Source organism: Homo sapiens, chromosome 2 (assembly GCF_000001405.40).
Source record: "Homo sapiens chromosome 2, GRCh38.p14 Primary Assembly".
Taxonomy (NCBI): Eukaryota; Metazoa; Chordata; class Mammalia; order Primates; family Hominidae; genus Homo; species Homo sapiens.
The window spans coordinates 225,719,241-225,740,469 of record NC_000002.12 but is presented as its reverse complement, the minus strand read 5'-3'; the positions used below and the strand labels follow the sequence as shown (position 1 = coordinate 225,740,469).

General features: G+C 37.6%; 1 long non-coding RNA gene across 4 annotated transcripts in view; it reads left to right on the top strand.

Moving 5' to 3' along the window:
* Nucleotides 1–21,229, top strand: part of LOC105373914 (uncharacterized) — a 211,043-nt gene that overhangs the window by 151,122 nt on the left and 38,692 nt on the right. For 2 of the 4 annotated variants that reach the window (XR_007088110.1, XR_007088111.1), the window contains 2 exons: nucleotides 771–842; nucleotides 4,834–4,889. This is a non-coding gene — a long non-coding RNA (uncharacterized LOC105373914). The remainder of the gene's footprint in view (nucleotides 1–770; nucleotides 843–4,833; nucleotides 4,890–21,229) is intronic. The other 2 variants (XR_007088108.1, XR_007088109.1) reach the window with 1 other exon arrangement.

The window sequence follows — 21,229 nt, the reverse complement described above, 5'->3', positions numbered from 1 at the left end:
TTCAAGAAGCATCTGTGAGTGTCAAGGAATGTATAGAAATGTAAGCCAGATAAGCACTTGATTCGCTTTTGTAGGTTCTGACTGTGGGAGCACATATCTGTATGACTGCGTATTTGTGCTTCTTGCTAATCAAAAGCACCTGAATGGGGGAAACACAGAAGTCATTTCCTAATTGAGAACAGTTTGGGAATCTAAATACTGGCATTGATCCATCCCACCCTTCCTAATGAACTGCGTGGAGCTTTCCCAGCATATGGAAGAAGGAGTGGAGCTGCAATAACCTTCTGCTGAGCTAAACACCAAACATTGTGCCAGGCAGGAAGGATACAACTCATTCCTCACCCTGGATTGCAGGGATGTGAAGTCTTTCTGTAATGAATTACTACAAATGTTGATAACTTAAAAATAAGCAATTTTACTCCAGTATGATTACGTTTTGAGACATTTTAGTTCAACATCTATAAAATAATTGCCAAATTTATCTGTTGAGTTCCTTCCTTCAGCCTATATTTCTTGTACAACACATCAAAAGCCACGATCTAGACCAGGTTCTGGAGACACAAAGACAAATGACACACAGATCTTGCCCTAAGGAGCTTCTACACTAATGGTAGAGACAGACTGGTAAACAAGTAGGAAAGTTGATAGAAGACTGTGGTTGGTGTTACATGAGGCACAAGGTGGTAGGGGTGAGGGGAACTGTACACTTTATCTGAACCTCGTGGGTTTCCCTTGTCTTCTGTTCTCATCATCTATTTGTCTTATTGCAGGTAGCTACCCTTGCATTTCATCAGGGCTCTGCTTGCAAGAATCGCAAGGCAGATCAAGCCTAGCGGCCTAAGGTAAGAAGACTATTCCCCACCAATCTTCTAGGAAAGCCAAAGATAGGAGTCCAGTTATTCTCTAACCCTTCTCATTCTCTATCCTCCAACCCCAAGGATGACTTGCATTATTAGAAAGGGAAGTGAAATCATGTCAACAGAAAGTAAATTTAAAGCATATTTTTCACATTTCATGGGCTGCAAATCTCTGTCTTCCCAATCAATAAAGAAGACTCAATCCCTACCTTCTATTTTAATTGCTTATATAGTTGTATACCTATATTGTGTGTGTTTTAATTTATCACTGTTTACACAGAGCAAAGCAAATGAAATGATAGCTTCATAATTATAACATTATTATATTAATAATCATCTAAACGTTATTGCAAATGAATACCTTCTTAAAACAGTCAAGAAAATGTGGCAAAGTTCCTTCTAATTATTGCTTGGGGATAAAATATGAATAATGTGAATATCCTTGATGTAGAAGAATCAACAATGATCTATATATACACACGTATGTGATATATATTTTCTATATTAATTACTGCCTTAAATCTCTTGGCCTCTGATTTTTATGTGACCACTCCACCTCCCTTAAAATAAATCCACACATATGTATCATTCCTTCAGTTATCCTCTTCACTCCTATGTCTTGAAAACTGAGTGATGCAGGAGTAAATTATATTATTGCACAGTTTTGTGCTGATACATCAGATTTTTCTGTCTCATCTGGATCCTCAACACCATTTGTCAGTCTTTTATCTTATTCCAGTGATTAGCCCCCTTGATTCCATTAAACTTTGACTATGCTCCTCAAAAACCCTACACCAAATGCTCTTCTCTAACTCTAAGCCAATATACTCACCTAAATAAATCAATAGAGCATATCAGGTAGAAACTACCCTGTCTTATAATACTGCTCTCTCTGAACCAGTCTTCTCCTTCTCGATTCTCTGTTTTCATAAGCATATATCTTTCCTCTTTTTGCATCTTAAAGGTTAGTGATCTACAGAATTGTGTTCTGTCTTCCTTCTCAGTTGTCACTGGGTGGCTTTTCCCAGGAAAAGATAGATGTCACTGGACCAGAGCTTTGTTAGGGTGTTATCTGGGATTCAACACCCGTGGACAGGCAGGGAGCAGGAGTGGCCAGAGGGACCTTTCAGAGCTTCCCTAGGTTGGAGAGGGAAGAGCAGGCTTTTCTGTGTTCCTGTCAATCAATCACCAGATGCCTAGTTTGCTAGGAAGCAAGTTTGACCTTGGGAGAGGTGAGTCTCTCCAGTGGGAGAAATCTCTAGAAAGGGCTACATTAGAGGGCGGCAGCAACGCTCTCAGGAGTTGAATAGGAGTCTTTCATTCCTGAAGAGGGATCTGGACAGTGGGTCACATCATTGTGTCCACCACAGATTGCTGTCCTGGACACACACACAGACACACAAACGCACACGCGCGCACACACACACACACACGTGCTCACCATCACACACACCAAGACCTTGCGACTTTAGGTCTTGTCTGTATCTCAAATCTGACCTACTCTACCATGCTAGTATCCTCTTGGGCACTGAAGATGAAAGATTCAAGGTTTAGGAGGTGGTTTTCCTGCTCCCTTCCTCTTGGAGAAGGGTCATCCATGAGAATGAATCCTATGTTCAGGGAGACAACTTCCAGTGCAATCCTCTCTTTTCCTCAGCTAATTCAAGTGGTGCTTCTGATGCTTGGGACTGCAAGAAATCTTGACTAATACAGAAAATAACCACAGGCTGAGCTGAGCCAGATCCTGGTGGGTCATGATGCCCTTCAGGCTAGGCAGCACCTGCCCTGGAATCTGCCTTGTTTTGTGCAATGTATGGCTAACTTGTGCCAGTATGATTAATTCCCACCACATTTTCTCTACAGCCATACTTTCTTCCTCTTCTTTAATTTTATTTTAATACGTTGGGTTTAAATAGGGAAGCATTTGCATTTCTCATGCATTGACAGGATGATTCATTTCCCAGAAATGTTTATACCTCTTTTATCAGAAAGAAAAGACAAAGAAAGCTTTGGAATTAGTTTCCCTCACTTCCTTCCCCACTCCCAAGATTTAATTGCTCAGAAACACTCTTAAAAAACTATCTTTCAGCATATATAGCATATATATAGTTAGAGGGGAGGTTGGAGTAGCACATCTGACTTATCTTTTATAAGGTAAGAATTTAAAGGAATGTTGCTACAGAGGAGTGTGTGTGTGTGTGTGTGTGTGTACCTGTGTGTGTGAGTGAACATGCATGCATTGTAATAGGGGCTTTTTGGGATAGGGAGGCTCAGAAGTGGTCTGACTGTCTTAACAAGCCTTTTCCATCCAACAAACCGTCCATTCTCTTGTTAGAGGTTAACTGACCTCAGTAGAGCCTGCACAACCTCTATCTTTAGAGTTGAGCTAACATGAAAGTAACCAATGCCTCAGTAATGCTGATTCTTGAAACAACAAAGCAAAATGAGGTGGGAAAGGAACAACTTCAACTCATTGACTGACATTTAACTTGCATTCACTTTGAACCCAGCTGTCTCCCAGTCATTAAGGAAAACATTTTCCTAGAGTAAAGGATTAGAAGGACTTCATCCCCACTGCTATTATTATTTAATTCTGAGTTCCAGTTTACAATTTATTTCTAAAAAACACAAAACAAATAACATTGGTATAGAACTTCATACTGCATTTTTTCATGTACTTTTTTTTCTTTTCAGTGCTATATGATATTTTGAAAAGTAATTATTAACCTTCCCAGATTAGAAATTTTAAAACTTTAAAGGTCAAAGGAGGTTAAAATTTTAAAGGCCAAAGGAGATCAAAAGAAGTGCCCCAGATCACCAAATTACTAGAAAGGGGAGAGTTAATGTAACTTGAGTTTTCTGCCAGCAGCAACTAAAATTCATATAACACAAGCAGACAATAAATAAATGGGGAAAATTTGAGTTTCTCTGAAACAATATAAACCCAAATAAGCCTGTTGGCAATCTGCTCACATGAAAGAAAAATAAAAATAATATGTTTCTAAGACCTAGAGAGAATTCATTCAACAAATATTTATTGAGCCTTTATCATATGCCCACTTATTTTCCCAATGCCCAACAGCCTTGGCCTACTTGACAGCCTTTTTATAAAGTGGAATCCACATACCATTAACCCCTTTAGAGCCTGTGAAAAATGCCTGTTGTATCAGAATCCATAGGAGGAATATGCACCTTTAATATGTGGTCTAGGTGGTTTTTATGGATGATAAAGCTTAAAAATCCTGATTTAAGAATCTCGACTCAGATTCCCAAGTAGATTCAATGCCTCCTTTTCTTATTTCCAGTACACAAGGTAAAAACTTTCAGAGAAATGAGTGCCACTTTCTTTATCCTTCTATTATTTGCATTGAAATAATATTTTCACTCAAATAGTTCTCCTCTGAAACAATGAAATGATAGGTGCTATAATTCAGAGCCATAGAATCTAGTCACTAAACACAGCACTATCTGTCTGAGTTTGTTGGAGAAATCTACGAGGGTGGCCCAACTGCAAGATTTTTTTCTTTGGCAGCAATCCCATCAGTTTGTCTGACTAAAGTTTATGCCTATATTTTAATGACTCATATTCTCCTTCTGCTCTGTCCCATGAATTACTTGGCAGAATTTCTGCTGATTTGGAACATCACTTGTCAAGGAGAAGGTATCAGATTGTGTGTGTGTATATTTCAAAATGAGCAGATGCAAACGTCTGAACGATTTGCTCTTTTGCAGACCTCTCAGGATGACCTAATTTTCCTAAAGTCTTAAATTTAAAATCATAACATGCACTTCATGTTCTTTAACATAAGCTTTAACCTTTAAAATTTTCAAAGAATAAAATGACAAAATAACAAAATTGACAGGGAACTAGGGTGACAAAAATGCTGTGTACATCAAAGGAGGAAAGACGAAGGGAACTTTTACTGTTTAGCTCATGACGATCACTACTCCCTGACCTGTGAATTCTGCCCTCCAGAGATCTACTTCCCCTGGGAATGAATCCTGCATAAAGACCCATGTATGGAAAGCAAGGTGAGAACTTGGATCAAGAACTCATGAAGTATATAAAAAGATCAAAGCCACACAATATGTCTCTGACAAAAGTGCTAGACTATTTAACTATTGTTCATTAATAATATTAATCTCAAGTCCTTTTTTGCAATCTGAAATATTGCCTTCTTTCCACTTCAGAGCTTTAGTTATATGTCAGCTAGCCCCTTCACTCTTTGAGGTGTGGAGTGGGGCGGTGAAGTTTAGAAAGGGAGGGCTGAGTGGGAAAAAAAAAAGATGGGGGAGTTCCTCAAACCACAGGATGTAGAATCTTTTAGAACATGGAGAAGGGACATTTTCTAAAGTTCTATGTTCAATGCCAGGAATTTAAATTGCATCCTGCTATAATTGAAAATGTGTATGTCTAACCTAGGGTTTCTTAACCTCAGCGCTATTGACATTGGAGGTGGATAACTCTGTTGTGGAGCCTGACTTGTGTGTTATAGAATGTTTAGTAACATCTCTGGCCTCTTCCTCCAGATGCCAGTTGTCCTGTCCTCCATTAAGACAACCAAAATGTCTCAAGACATTGCCAGAGGTCCCCTGGGGGACAAAATCATACCCTGTGGAGAACCATTGGGCTAACTGGCCTGGATCTGCCACATGGGTGACCCTTCACATGTGAGGCAGTACCCAGCCTCCATCCGGCCCACCTTCCACCCTCAGGGAGTACCTGCTGCCCACTCCACCACTGCTGGTTGAGTCTTCCCTGCTGTTGGGCTCCAGCTGGCATCTTCTTCATGCAGCTAGTGCAGGCGAAACTTCTCAATAAAAGTTGGAGGTGGTGAAAATTGTTGCTGTGCCTCAGCACAAAACAAGAAGCAAATTGTGAATATTTGATATCAAAATGAATTAACTATATTGACCAATTCCATTGCAGAGAAATTCTCATGAACCATCTTTTTCCTCAATCTCTGATATCCTATCTTGGTCTAGGTTTCTTCCTTTCCCCCAAGAGTCCTTCTCTGGCTCACTCTTCTCCTCATACCAGTTTATGAGTTACTCCTGACTTTCCTTGCTACCACTACATAACTATACAGACCAATTTCACTCTGCGAGTATGTGTATGTATGTATGTATGTATGTACATGTGTACCTATCTATTTATCTATCCATCATGCAAAGATAGGTCCCAAACTTCAGGACCTATCTTTGCATGGTAGATAGATAAATAGGTAGGTATACATGTACATACATACATACACATATTCACTTATATATAAAGCACACATATATATGCATGTATATATATTAGCATACATTTGCATAGAGGAATATATGTATAAACACGCTAGTGTAGAAACAAAAACCATATTTGCTAAACCAAAGGGTTTAAATTGTTTGATGATCAATATACCCTTGATCTTCATACCTAATAAAATAAGCAGAGTATTTTCTCAAAGTGTCTCAGGCAAATGTTTGTGTAGACCCCCATCCCCCACCAAGCCAAGGAAACCTCAGGGATCAAAGAACAAATGGTAATTGTTCTGATTGTGTAGTAGAGCAGGTAGGTTTTATCCCGTTCTATGCTGAACACAGACCCTCACTCCATCCAGGCTAAGGCAATAGCAAACATTTCTTCTATGATGCAGTGCAAAGCAAGGCAGGGAAACACCTAACAAGAGACAGGCACTATGCAAACAAGAGGTTAATCTTCACTATGTAAAGATCTGATTGCCATTAAGACCCCTTGCATCAAAGTCATGCTATAAGGTCACAGTGAGTTCTTGCCCCCTTTTCCTTTTTCATATCAAGATCTAAAGCATCCCTTCCTCCCGTGGAGTGGCAGCTCTGGTTCAGACTAGGGAGGTGCCTAACACAAGATACCCATTAAAAAGAGGCAGGACCTCACAGAGGAGAGAGGCCGGGGGAAGGGTTAAGACCCTGCAAAGAGATGCTCCCCGACAACCACAGGGTATCTGACACTGGCTTCTCTACAGTCATATGCTCAGACCACAGGCCTAGGAACAGAATTCAGGGAGAAGTAATAGAATAGGCAGACCTTGTCAAGTTGAAATTTGTTGCCTGAACTTAAAATAAAGTCCTGATTAATCACTCTGCAAATTTTACTGGCAGCACCATCTTATTGAGCAATATGAAACCCCTCCCTTCCATAATTAGGGAATCACATCAACAAGTTTATATTACACTTAGAATATCCCGGGCATTCTCTTGTGCCATCTTGGAATATCTAACAACTAGGGTATTTTGGGAGGTCCCAGCACCATAATTGACTAACTAAAATGAGAATTAAGGGATTTGAATCATTGTAGGCATTTTAAACTACACCTATGACAAACCCAGGATGTAACACTCCTTCTAGATGGGTTTAATGGTGTTGGCTTGGGTTTTATTGTATCTCATATATTTCATTTGAAATCACATATGATCTGATGGAAAGAACTTTCCCCTGCACAAAATAATAGAAAGCATTCCTAAAGGGATGTGTTTTAGTCAAGGGAGAAAGGATTATGCCAAGGGATGTGAGTTAGTTCATGCAGCTTTGCACATCACTCTCATAGTCATGCCTGTGTCATATGGTTATTTTATCTTCTCATTAGCACATTTAATACGCTTAGATTCTATGGTTTAGAACTTTGAAATCTCAAATGTTTCCTTATGGGTACTGGAAAGGAATCCAAATTATATTTAGGAGAATATCACAAGTAGGATTTATGGCAAATTCACAGTTCAATCAAGAAATTTATACACATACACTCATACATATATATACATATATGGACATATATATCTATAACATATATACATATTTACTATATATGGTATATGATAGTTGAACCTTCACTCTTATGGACATAACATAAGCCATTGTCTAGATTACTAAGTCAGGAGAAAGACACCAATCAATATCCTGTACAGTATATACTCCCCGCCCATGGAAATAATTCAATCCATTCTTGTTGTTGAAGGAGAGAACCCAAGTCATAATGCAGTACCTAGATATGGAGTCTAGAATGAATCTCAAAAATTGCTCTGGGCAGGAAGTAGTTTTAGAACCCTTGTTGAGTACTGAAGACTTTTCTTGATGCCTCTTTTCCTTCTTCTCTGATGTGTGTGTGTGTGTTTTTTTTTTTCCTTATCTTTATGTCACCAATCAAGCTTGCCTTCTCATTTTTCTCCCAGTATCCCCATCTACCCTGGATACACGATCTCATGAGATTAACTATTGACCAGTTAAATTTAAACCACAGCTTCCTTTTCTAAGCTTCAGGACTACACATCCAAATGCCTCTTTCATTTTCCTATCTGAATGCCCTACAGCCTCCCATATTAACTTTCTGAAGATCTTTCTAATCATGTCTCTCCTACCTCTATCTTTGAATACAGTGCATCACCAAAAGTAAATGAGATCTTGTTAGGTTAATTTTCACACAGTTTGTTGAATGAAAACAATAAGTAAAATGACTGTTTTTTTTTAAAGCCACACTCATCCCCTCGATATTCTGACAGCTCACCCCTTTCCCAAAGGAGAGTTTCCTGCCATGATGAAAATTGCTGCGTTTTGTTATCCCTGACTTCAGGGTTGTCCTTCTCAATGTATCATCCACGTGCTGCCAAACACCTGTCAAAACAATCCAGATAGCAAGTCTTCTTCATTCTTCTGCTTAAACCCTTCAATGGCTCATACTGGTTTAAAGCTTTTTCACTCATGTCCAGCAAAATGCTCTGAGGGCAAAGTACGTACTTCTTTCATGGCTTAACCAGAGGAGTTCCCAAATAACAGAAGGGACTATTTTATATTGCTTTTAACAGCAGGTAATGTAGGAGAAGGAGACAGATTTTTTTTTTTTTTTTTTTTTTTTTTTGATGGAGTCTCACTCTGTCGCCCAGGCTGGAGTGCAGTGGCGCGATCTCGGCTCACTGCAACCTCCGCCTCCCAGGTTCACGCCAGTCTCCTGCCTCAGCCTCCCGAGTAGCTGGAACTAGAGATGCACACCACCACGCCCAGCTGAGTTTTCTATTTTTAGTAGAGACGGGGTTTCACCGTGTTAGCCAGGATGGTCTCGATCTCTTGACATCGTGATCCGTCCGCCTCAGCCTCCCAAAATGCTGGGATTACAGGAGTGAGCCACCGCTCCCGGCCAGGAGACAGATTCTTTAAGCAAAATTTTCTTACTTTTTCTCCAAACCAGCCACTCTTGGCTAGGTAAAAGATGTTTGAAATCGAGGAAACACAGTAAATTGGTATGTCTTTATCTTTTTTCTTCTTTTTGCAGAGATCCTAGGCTACAGGGTGGAGAACATCCCAGGTCAGACCAGGGATAGAGACGGGGATGAAAGGACCACATAGAAAAGGCAGACCATCTTGAGGGTAGCACTAGAGAATGGAAAATTAGGGCCTGCCTTGGGCAGTGAATGAAGAAAACAAGAAATGATCTATGAGGTATTCCCAACTCCCTCCCCAAAGCAAACTCTGTCCAGTCCACACCTGAAGTAAAGACCCATTCTCTGTAGTCTTTGGTGCTCGACATGTGAAGGGTACACTCGTTTTTGTTGCGGAGGGCAGGGGAACATGAGGTGTACCTTTCTAACTTCTTAGTGTCAAGCATACAGAAAAGGCAAGGTGAATTTTTGAAAAGTCAAGCTTCCTAGCAAAGCTTTTCATATCACTGTCTTAATCTGCCTCTGAATACTCATTTTCTGCCATGAACTGTCAACAATGCCTAAACTTCACTGTTGAAACACCACACCACGATCTGTGCTTTCACTTCTGTGCCCCTTCGCATAAAATGTTCTGTGTTTCTCCACTCTGCCTTGAACTACTAAACCCTCCTAATTTTTTTTTAAGACTCAACTGATCTTCTACAGAAATGTTTATCTCACGTTTTCTCTCAAGTTGAGTTTTGGTGCTCTACAATATTCATGTTGCAATATATCATCATTGCAAGCAGATATATTTATCCCATTCACTAAGTTGCTAGTTGCTTGTATAATTGTATCCTATTAATCTTTCAGGTAGCTTCTTTAGCACCTAGTGGATATTCAATAAATTTATTGAAGAAAGAAATACTAGAGTTATATGCATATTTGAATTTTTTTCCTTAGCATAAATTAGAGTTTATTTTCCTTATAAACTAAGGGTGATTCAGAGAGTATAATGGCAGGGCATTTTTCCAGCACGCCTACAATCCAATCATGTTATAAATCCATTGAAGATCATGGTGATCTCGGCAAGGAGCTACTTCAAGTGCTCTTCAAGTGACAGTAATCCTCTTCCTGAGGCCAGGTAGAGACCTGCCCCAGAAATCTGCCAAAAGCACAGCCAAAACTGAATTTTTGCCACAGCTACCTCATTTAGTTTCTGAAGAATGATTTACACTTTTTAATGTTCTAAGAGTCAAGTATAAATGACATTATGAAAAGCGTATCCAGTGACTTCAAGGAAGCATTTATTCTCAGGTGTCTGCAGGCAGCATCTTTGTTTTGACAACCCACAAATCTCAGCACAACCAAGTAATGTCTGTGAAAAATTAAACTTCTAGTTCCCAGTAATAGTGATTTTTATCTCAGTCTCCTTATAGAGGAAATGTATCTTTGAATTTTCTTAAATTTAATCCTGACTTTTAAGAATTGTTTTTTATAACATGAGCCCATTCCCAATTATTAAATATCCACTTAATTATTTAAATATATTATAAAATATGGATAAGAATGCATTGGATTGTGTTTATTGTAGCATCCTTTGATGAATATCACCTATGATATTAAAGTGACTTAATTCAATTGTGTTATAAATGGTCTACTGCCTATTGTGAGATGTAGGTTTTTCTGGATAAGATCTTGAGTCCATCATCTGAATAAAATATCTATATAATTCATCTTCACATAATCTGCAAATTTATGAAATAAGAGATAGATACCCAACTTAAAACACTGAAAGAGAGATGAAAGGGAAAATGCCTTGAGTGGAATTTTGTGGTGGTATTTGGGAAAAGGGAAAAACAAAGTGGATTATTCACTCTGCAAAGATTCTCAAATGCTAACTCTAAGGGTTTTTCCGGAAGGCCTTGACAACATTACGATTTATGTGGAACCCATTTGATCATTCTAGCTCCCCTCTTGCTTCTTGTCAGGCAGTTTCCCAGGAGCTGGAAATGTGGCAGTGAATGAGACAGACAGGACGCTTACTCCCATGGAATTTGAATTCTAAGATGGTAGTTCAGATAAATAAATGAAGAAAATATTTCTGATAAGTGCCTTTAAGAAAATGAATGCAGTGATGTACAGACTGTTGCTTGGAGCAGAAGGGAAGGACCACATATCAAATCAGATTCTCAGAGAAGGCCGGGAAGGTGACTTCTGAGTTCAGATCTGAAAGACAAAAACCAATAAGATTTTCTAAAAAGCAGTTGAATAATGAGAAACAGCAAATACAAACACACTGAAGAAGAAATAAACTTGGCAAGAATGTGGTCATGAGGGCTGAAACTTCATGAACAGGAATACATAGTCAGGGACCAGAGCAAATAGGAATGTATGGATTAAAATCGGAAATTGGATTTTGTGCCAAAGACAAGAAACCACTGTTGATTGCTAAGCCATAGAATGACATGATCTTAATATTTTTGAAACATCTCTCTCTTGCTAACAATGTTAATGTCCAAACACCATTCCAAAACAATAATGTTATTTTACTTCTGATTAATTTTCTAACCAACAGCATATCGAGTATTATTAGTAGTTTTAAGTGTGACTTAATTTCCAAGGCCTATCTTTGTATTTTATTTTTATTTTCAGTCATTATCATCATAACCGTTAATGTCATCCATAATCTCGGGCATTCTTTCCATGCTGCAAAAAATAGAATTCTAAATAATTAGAGTTTTATTATACTTTTATCCCCCCAAATATGGGCCTTAATATTTTAATTCTCTCTATAAAACATTTCTGTCTTTCTTTTTTTGACTGTCAATGAACATTTAGTTTTTTATACAGCTGTAAACCTGTATTCAAGTAGATAAAATGCATTTAAAGTTTTATGAAATCCTTTAAAAATAATTGACCACTGAAAGTACAGGACTAATCTTTCAAATCTCCAAAGCTCCTAAAAAGCAATAAGTTAGAATCACTGAAAAATAATTGATAGGGAAATAGGTTATATATAAATATGCAGAAATATTATTAAACATTTGTTGTTGAAAATGTTTATAAAATTCATAAGAAAAACATGTTCTTTCTCTACAATTGTATGTTTTCAATTTATACATATTTCAAACTTATAAGGAAGAGCTAGAAAGTGGCACAGGTAAGGTATGAAAATAAAGGAAAAGAAAGGAAAAGAAAATACTCATAGGTCACAGATGCTTATCTTAAAATCTCAGTCACTAGATCACTATATCCAAACATAAAATATCAGGAGGAATTAGAAAGTCAAAGAGAGAAATGTTCCAAGTTACTTTGCTTTGACTGACAAGAAGTGGATTAGTCAGCATCCTCCAAGAAAGACTTATTGTAAAGAATTGGTTCACATGATTATGGAGGCTGAGAAGTCCCAAGCTCTGTATTTGGCAAACTGGAGACCCAGAAGGGCTAACGATGTAGTTTCAGTCCAAAAGTTGGTAGGCTTAAGATGCAAGAAGAGCTGATGTTTCCATTCAAGTTCAAAGACAAGAAGAAAGCAATCTCCCAGCTCTAAGGCAGTCAGGCAGGAGAAATTTCCTTGTATTCAGGGAAGGGTCAACCTCTTTGTTTCATTCAGGCCTTCAACTGATCGAAGAAGACCTACCCAGTTTGGGGAGGACAATCTGCTTTGTTCAATCTATTGATTTAAATGTTAAGCATCACAAAACACCCTCACAGGAACACTCAGAATAATGTTTGACCAAATAACTGGGCACCTCATGGCCCAGTCAAGTTGACACATGAAATTAATCATCATAAGCAGCAAGGCAATCTTTACAGCTTAGGCCAGTAGTCACTGATTTATTCATTCTACCGTCATTTGTTGATACCCTGAGAAGCATGAAGTCTATTTTCCATGGTGGGGATTCAGTAAGATATAAGAAATTATCTCTGACTTCAATAGATTCATGCTCTTCGGGAAAAAGGAAAATGCATACATAAAATGCAGTGAGATAGTTACCAAAGGGAATAGGTTAGAAAGAAAGAGTGAGGTCACAAGTCACAGAAGGGATGCTCAAAAGTTTTAACTCTAAAATGTAGAGAATGGTAGTGAGATTACTTGCAAAGAGGAGATAATTGTTCCAGGGAGAGGAAGCATACCGACAAAAGCAATGGAGACAATCAGGAAGGACAGAGTGGGAAATGCAAATGGACTGGGAAGGAAGAAAAGCCTGAAAGGTCAGGAGAAGCCCAGGGACAGTGGAAGGTTATGTCATCAAAGGCTTTGTATGTCCTGAGCAATACATTGCTCCTTGATTGTTACCAGGATCCAGTATAAAATTTTTCCTAAGTAAAAGGGAATTCAACAGCTCACATTTTCCCAAAATTAATAAATGAATTTATTTCATTTTGGGAAAATTTTAACCAGTCTTTACTTGAATTTCACCAAAATCTTTTTTGCAGTTACCAACTGTTGATACTCATGCTGTCCTCCAATGACTTGTTCTGTCCAACAGTTAGTCTTCAAATGCACCTCATTACTCTTTTACTCAGCACCCATTAATTAAGCACAAGTTATGTCAGGTACCATGCTATGTGCTGATAGATTAGAGTGGACAGAACTGGTGTAACCCCTTCCTCATGAAGCAGAACAGCTTCTAGAGGAGTAAGTAGAGAATTACAAAAGAAAAATGCATACTTTTGAAATGTGATTACGGCAATGAATGTACAGACTAGCTAGTTGTCAAAACTGAAGTCAAAATCTGGCCCAGATGAAAGAATCGCAGAGAGACCCGAAGAAATTTGTTTTATGTCAGAGTTCCTGTGTCACAATTGTTAAGGTCCAAATCAACTCTTAAGTCACTTTAAAGTATGCACTAACCCATGGTCTCATCCAGGAATAGAACTATTATTTTAATTGCCATTCTTATCTGGAAGCAAGAAATAAATTTTAAGTTCCTTTTTGACTTCAGGGTCAGATTTATTTATTCATTACTTCTATTGATTATCACTGACTGACTTAACCACTCCCTTTCAGTGGTGTTGTTACTTAGTTCACTTTGAAATTATACCCAGAGCTCATGCTGTCAAAATCCAAGAAGCAACATAGGGAATAAGAATAAGGTTTGTCACAGTTTTCTGCCTCTAGGCAATTAAATTTTTATACTGCCTTATAACTAAATAGGAGACACAAAACCCTGTAATTGAAATGAGATAAACTCATTTGCTTTTCTAAAGTTCAAGCTGTTTTTCGTCATGTCAACTCCATTCAGAGGCTCCCAATATCCCCATCCTGAAGAAGAAAGCAAGAGATATGCCCCTCCAGTCTTTGGTAATAGTTGTGATACTGAAAAAGTGAGGGAGAATAAAAGAAACTCAGAAGCTGGTTCATATCCACTAAGCTTTGGCCCAATTCTCCAGGCTAACCTGGCATTTTAAAGACCAAACAATTTATTGAGGTTTTTTCTTATCAGCCTTTTACATACAACCAGGTCTTTCCACTGAGCTGAGCTCCTCTCCTTGTCTTCCTGTGCTTGTTGGATCCCAGCCATTACCATTCACCATCCCATATTAATCACACACCCACTTTAAACTGTCTGGGCCCTCGTCCACTCTGCTTTGAAAAGATCTGCCTTCACAGCGTTCACGCTCACAGGTGATGGGACTAAGGCCCTTTACAACTCCTGGTGAGCTGGGATTCTCTGTGCCATTTGCATAGCAAGAACATATGAAGGCTGAAAAGGAGACTAATGTTTGGGGGTGAATGCTTTTAATAGAGTAAAAGATTCTATGCACTGAACTGTAAGATAAAACATTGAATACACGATTTTGGGCTCTAATTTTGCATTTAAATGTCACCTATTTTAAGAACACCAAGACATTTAACTATACTAGGGATTGAAATTTTTAATTCTAAAAATATGAAAATTCAAATACAGCTGGGAGTTAAATTCAATTAGCTTTGTTTAATAGGCATTATTGAGCTCAGAGTGAACACATATTAATTCATTCATCCACTTAGCCATTCATGTATTATTTAACAAATATGTATTTAGGATCAACTCTGGGTAAGACTATGAGCCCCAAACATGTGGGAAAAGATTGGTTTTTATTTTCTCATCATATTGGACTTATATGACACAGAAGCCTATAAATGTAATATTTGAGACCTTCAGGATTAGAAAAAATGTTATCTATTCCTAGAATCAAGCAAACAACAGCATTATTATAGTTCTATTATCTCATTAATTCATTCATTCGTTCAGTAAGCATGTACTGAAATCCTAGTATCTATGTTGGATGAGGCTCAATTGCTATAGAACGAAACTATTATCTCTATAGATTTTTTGGATAAATACAAAAAATTAGCATGGCTTGCTCACGAGATGTTAAGATCAGAAGGCAGGAGAGCAAAATAGATTTGCTGCTTTATCAAGAAGTGGAAACTCTCCTTACACAATTGAGAATAATTAAAGACTTTAATAGAGAAAGAGGAATCTGTTCAAGTTAGCAAAATCTTTTGGAGGAAGTTTGGAGAAGGAGTTAGAGGACTGAAAGCCTAGGGAGAGGAAGGAGGCCTGGAAGGGAGTTACTGCAGTGAACCCTGTGAGATACAGTGGGATCTCAACCTGGCACTCAGGCTGTGGGATGAAGAGGAAGTAACCCATTTGGAAGAAGTTGATATAATTGTATTAGTGTGGGTTCTTCAGAAAAACAGAACCAATAGGAGATATATGTATATATACACACACACACATATGTATCTATATATACATATTTATTCATATATATATATATAAAACACATATATTACACACATATATAGATATTTATTATAAAAAGTTGGCTTACATTATTGTGGAGGCTGAGAAGTCCCCCATCTGAGATCTGCAAACCAGAGCATCAGAAAAGCCCGTGGTGTAATTCAGCCTGAAGGCCTGAAAGTCACTGGAGCCAGTGATGTAAACCCCAGTCCCAAGACAGGAGGCTATGAGATGAGATGTCCCAACTCAAGTAGTGAGGCACGAACAAAAGGGGTGCGTCCTCCTTCCACATTTCAACCTATTCAGACCCTCCATGGATTGGACAAAGCCCACCCACACTGGGGAGGACACTCTATTTTGCTAAGACCAATAATTCAAATGCTGATCTCCTCTGGAAACATGCTCACAGACACACCAGAAACAATGTTTAATGTGAACACCATGTGGTCCACTCAAATTAATACATAAAATTAACCATCACAAACCCCAGTTATGTAGATTTAGGAATCACCATTATGTAGACAAATATAAATCTGTTAAGGATCAGAAGTATTATGCAGTAAAGCCTAATATTTCCATAGCATTTACCATATGTCTAAATGCTGTACACAGATTCACTTTCAGAGAACAGACTCACTGATTAAATCCTTGCAGTGATCCTAGGAATAAGCTACAATTTCCCTGATTTTACACGTGAAGACACTAAGATGAGAGAGGTTAAAGAAAGTTTCTCAAGCCTCTGAATAAGTGCTAGATTTAAAACCCAAGCACACTTACCTCCATGGATTTAACCACTACACAAATGATATTATTGTTACTGTCATTGCATCTTTATTATAGTAATTCTTGCTCATAGTAACATTAAATTGTACAGAAAAAAAATAAGCTAAAGTATAACATTGGTCTATTTCTTTATTTCCTTATCCATTCTCTATGAATCTCTTTTCATCTTGATTGTTTTTAGATCTTATGATGGTTCCCTCTGTAATTGTCAATGATATGCTTATTGACACTCTTTAATAAAGATGACACCTATTTCCCCCTCACTCTGAAAGAAGAGTTACCTTAAATGCACTTCAACGCACATTCTCCATTCCTGGTCCCAAAGTCTGATAGTTGTGATCATTGCTCTTAGCTTTTATATTGACCATTTATCACACTAGTAATATACATAAAGTATTTATTGTTCCGTAACATTCTTATGGGATCTGTTGATCCTTAACCACTTCTGATGATGAGTTGTCCTAACCCTCACCCCTACTTTCCCAATATTCCCACACTTGCCTTGCTCTTTCACCTCCTGTTATGCTAGTGAAATTTTTTCTTAACTTTACACCTCCATGGTACCCTTCTGGTCCTGAGTCATATGTGACAGACTCTATGAGACTTGTTAGACTCTAGGGTTTTTGATAGAAATACCATAAAAATCTTCTCTGTGTTTGACTTCCCCAAACTCCATAGAAATTCCAACACCCAACACTCATCCCCAACCCCACCACACTCAAGAATGTAAGCTTTAGAAGAGACTGGGAGGCACAAGTCCTTTTACCAAGGATGAATATCAGTGATTTATTATATGCTATTTTTTCTGAACTCTCACCCTTTGCCCCCAGTTCAGAGCATTCTTAGCTGCTGGAAAGATTCATTCTCTATGATTCTTCCAAATCTCTAATTTAGGATTGTCCTTCAATAATTAGCACATTTTATCTAATTTTGCTTTTCTTTTTTAACTACCTTACCCTGTGTGTAGAAGATCCTTTAGACCAAACCTCTCCAGAAAATTGATTCTTCCAATAACTTCCTGAGGATCAATGTACCACACTCCAAAAATGTCTGAATCTTAATTCCAGCTTGAGCTGGAAAATAGTTCTACAGAATAGCCTTAATTAGTAAATGAGTTTTACCAAACCTTAAACCCACGCTTTCCTAAAGCAAAGCTGGAAAGCAAAGCTGGCCAAACAAAAATATTTTTGAAATTGAACCTGACCCTAACTGATAAATCTTTCTGGTTTAGTTCCTCAAATAGAATTGTTTCTAAATTTGACCTGGTCTCAAGATGTTTGGAGACAAAAACAGCTAAAGATACCCGTATCTATTAATTCTAACCTCAGGTCTCCCACATATTGTGGGCATCTGAAGGCCAGTCCTGTTTATGCCATGTCTTTCATCTCAGCCCTTCAGGGATCTGCTGGAGAAAATGGGCTTTTAAGAGGATGGCTGAGGAGGCAGAGTTTCTGCCACTTGGTAGGCTGAATTCCCATGTGCTGCTGACTCCGATGAACTGGCAGCTCTTAAAGACTGTTCAAATTCATGCTCAGTCCTCAGGTGGCCTGCAAATATCAGACATTTTTTTTCTGATTTTTTTCTGGTTTTCTCCTTTTTGCTTTCCTCTCTTATTGGAAGACCATTTAAATGGGTTAAGTCGGAGCTGTGGTTATTTTAAGTAGATGCTCTAACCATTCTCATTAAAGTTTTAAGGATCTTCTAGAAATAAGAAAGTAGTTATTAGCAAGTATTTCATGAATTTTTGAAATTAGGAGAAAGACAAATCATCAAAGTGTCTCAGTTTTGTGCTTAAAAATATCATAAACCTATTTTATTATTGCTACATGCTGCCATACAATACTTTTTTTGGTAATAAATTCTTAGGGAATCCTGAGGGCTTTTAAAATATCGTGGAATAGATTCTTACAACCTGGAACCATTGAGGTCTAAATATGGGAAGAGTGCTGGCTACATAATCTTGCAAAATCCTCTAACCCTCTAATGCTTTGATTGATGAATCTGATACTACTTTGCTTCAAGCTTCATAGGTCCATTGACTACTAATCAGGCTTAATAAATATAATTCTACTTGAAAATATAAAGTACCATAAAATTATTGCCTTGATGATTTTTAGCCAAGTGCATTGATAAGAATTTCTGACAGTCTTCCTGAGCAGTGATCATTCAACAAAACTGTTTTCTGGATGGAATGTATCACATCCAATTTCCTTAGAATTATATTTTCAGAGGTTTTCCTCTTCATCTATAATCCAAGATGAAAAGTTAAGTAGTTAATGAACAAAGTTTCCTAATATGACTTACAAGATAAAAGCTTATGAAGAAAAATTCATGAAGGCAATTTATTCTCTGAAAATTCAAATAAGTGGGAGTTGAACAATGAGAACACATGGACATAGGGAGAGGAACATTACACACCAGGGCCTGTTGGGGGGTGGGGGGCTAGGGGAGGGATAACATTAGGAGAAATACCTAATGTAGGTGACTGGTTGATGGGTGCAGCAAACCACCACGGCATGTGTATACCTATGTAACAAAACTGCATCTTCTGAACATGTACCCCAGAACTTAAAGCATAATAAAATAAAAGAAAATTCAAATAAAGTTTACTAAGTAAGAGGGCAAATCTATTTTGATAAACATGGATTAGATAATTGGGCAACATGTAAGTAAGAATACACTGGCTTAACTGAAAATTTAAGGAATCAATTAGCTTCCTTAGTGCTTAATGCCACCAAGGGGAATTTCATAAAATGTTCTTGAAGCTTTTTTACAATTTATTTAAGAATCAGGTTAATTATTGCACAGAGACCAAGATATATAAAACTGAGCACAGATTTATCATGACATTAAAATACAGTTCCTGATAGGCTTACATATGATAAAACTGTGAGAGGATAAGCATGGTGGCTTATACATTTCCACAATCTATTTTTTACAACGTTAACATCTAGCTAAACTAGCAGTTGCAGAAGCAAGTTCATTGTACTGTGAGGCTTCTGTGATGGTTAATTTTATGTCAACTTGACTAGGCCACGAGGTAGCCAGATATTTGGTCAAGCATCATTCTGGTGTCTCTGTGAGTGTTTCTAAAAATTATTTATTTAACATTTAAATCAATAGACTGAGTAAAGCAGGTTGCCCTCTCTAAGGTGGGTGGGGCACATTCAATCAGTTGAAGGCCTGAATACAACCAAAAGGCTGACCCTTCCCTGAATAAGAGGGAACTCCTCCTGCCTGACTGCCTTCAAACTGGGACATTGTTTTCTTCCTGCCGTCAGACATGAATGGAAACATCAGCTCTTCTTGGGTCTCACCCTGCCAATCTTTGGACTAAAATGACATCATCAGTCCTCCTGGGTCTCCAACTTGCCAATCACCCTGCAGATCTGGGGACTTGGGACCTGGCTGCCTCCATAATCACCTGAACCAATTCTTATAATAAATCTATTCATATCATATAAATATATGTGTGTGTGTCTGATATGTATGCATATACATATCTATATAGATATACACATATATACACATCTAGATAGATATCTTTATACACACATATATATACACATATATATAGATATATACATACATAAATAGATATGTAGATATATATTAATATATATGATATATATATTAATTAGCTTAGGACAATCAACAACCCTGTGTGTGTATGTTGGGGGTGTGTTTTGGGGGGGTGGTAGGGATGGTGTTTCTGTGTGTGTGTGTGTGTGTGTGTGTGTAAGTGATGACTGTGATGACTATTGAGGAAAAGGACCAGGATTTTTTTCCTAAACAACTCTTTTGTTTTAAGAAATGGGAGAGCCACAGGGAAGAGACCAAGGGCTAAAATTTCCTAGTAAAATATATTTTGGTCTGATAAAAGTTAATGACTCCTTTATTTGGGAATAGCTAATATTATAGAATGCATCTTCACCAATCCACACAAATATTACTTGGGACATAAACAATATAGAGAGTAAATTCACACAAATATTTTTTGGGAAATACAAGATATAGATAGTAAATCTACACAAATATTTCTTGGGACTTATAAGATGCAGATAGTAACTTTATTTTTCCAGTTCACCTCTTGATAATTATTTTTTTCCATCTAAAGAAATGGAAAAAGAAGATCCAAGAAACTTTGGTGACGTTCTTAAATTAGTTTTTAAATCAGTCAAGCAATATTAATGCATTCCTACAATTATACTTTGAAAAACATATTACAGTATATAAAGAAAAAGTTAAAGTATCCCATCACTACTCCCAACCAACGCTGTGCCACAATCTTCTTGTTAATGGTTGGTCTTACAATTTCAAAACTTTGTCAATTCATTTCCATGAATGTATATATACATATACAAATATATGTATTTTCAAGATAGCAATGGAATTTAAATACACTGTAGAACTACATTGGAACTTTTAAATTGAGATATGAACATATTTATCTGCTTCATTCTTTTTAGGTATAATATATTTTTATTCCATGGAGTAGTAGTTCCTTAATTTCTTGTACTTCTAAGAAACACACAGTAGATTTAATTTGCAGTGCCCTTGAGGTTAGGTATTTCCCTGTGAATGATATGTGAGTGGGAGAGACATGTTATCATTTTTAAGTGGAAGCTTTAAGAGCTGTCTGCAAGGCACCACACCGTCTCTTCTGCTAGGAATACGGTATAAAACTCCAGA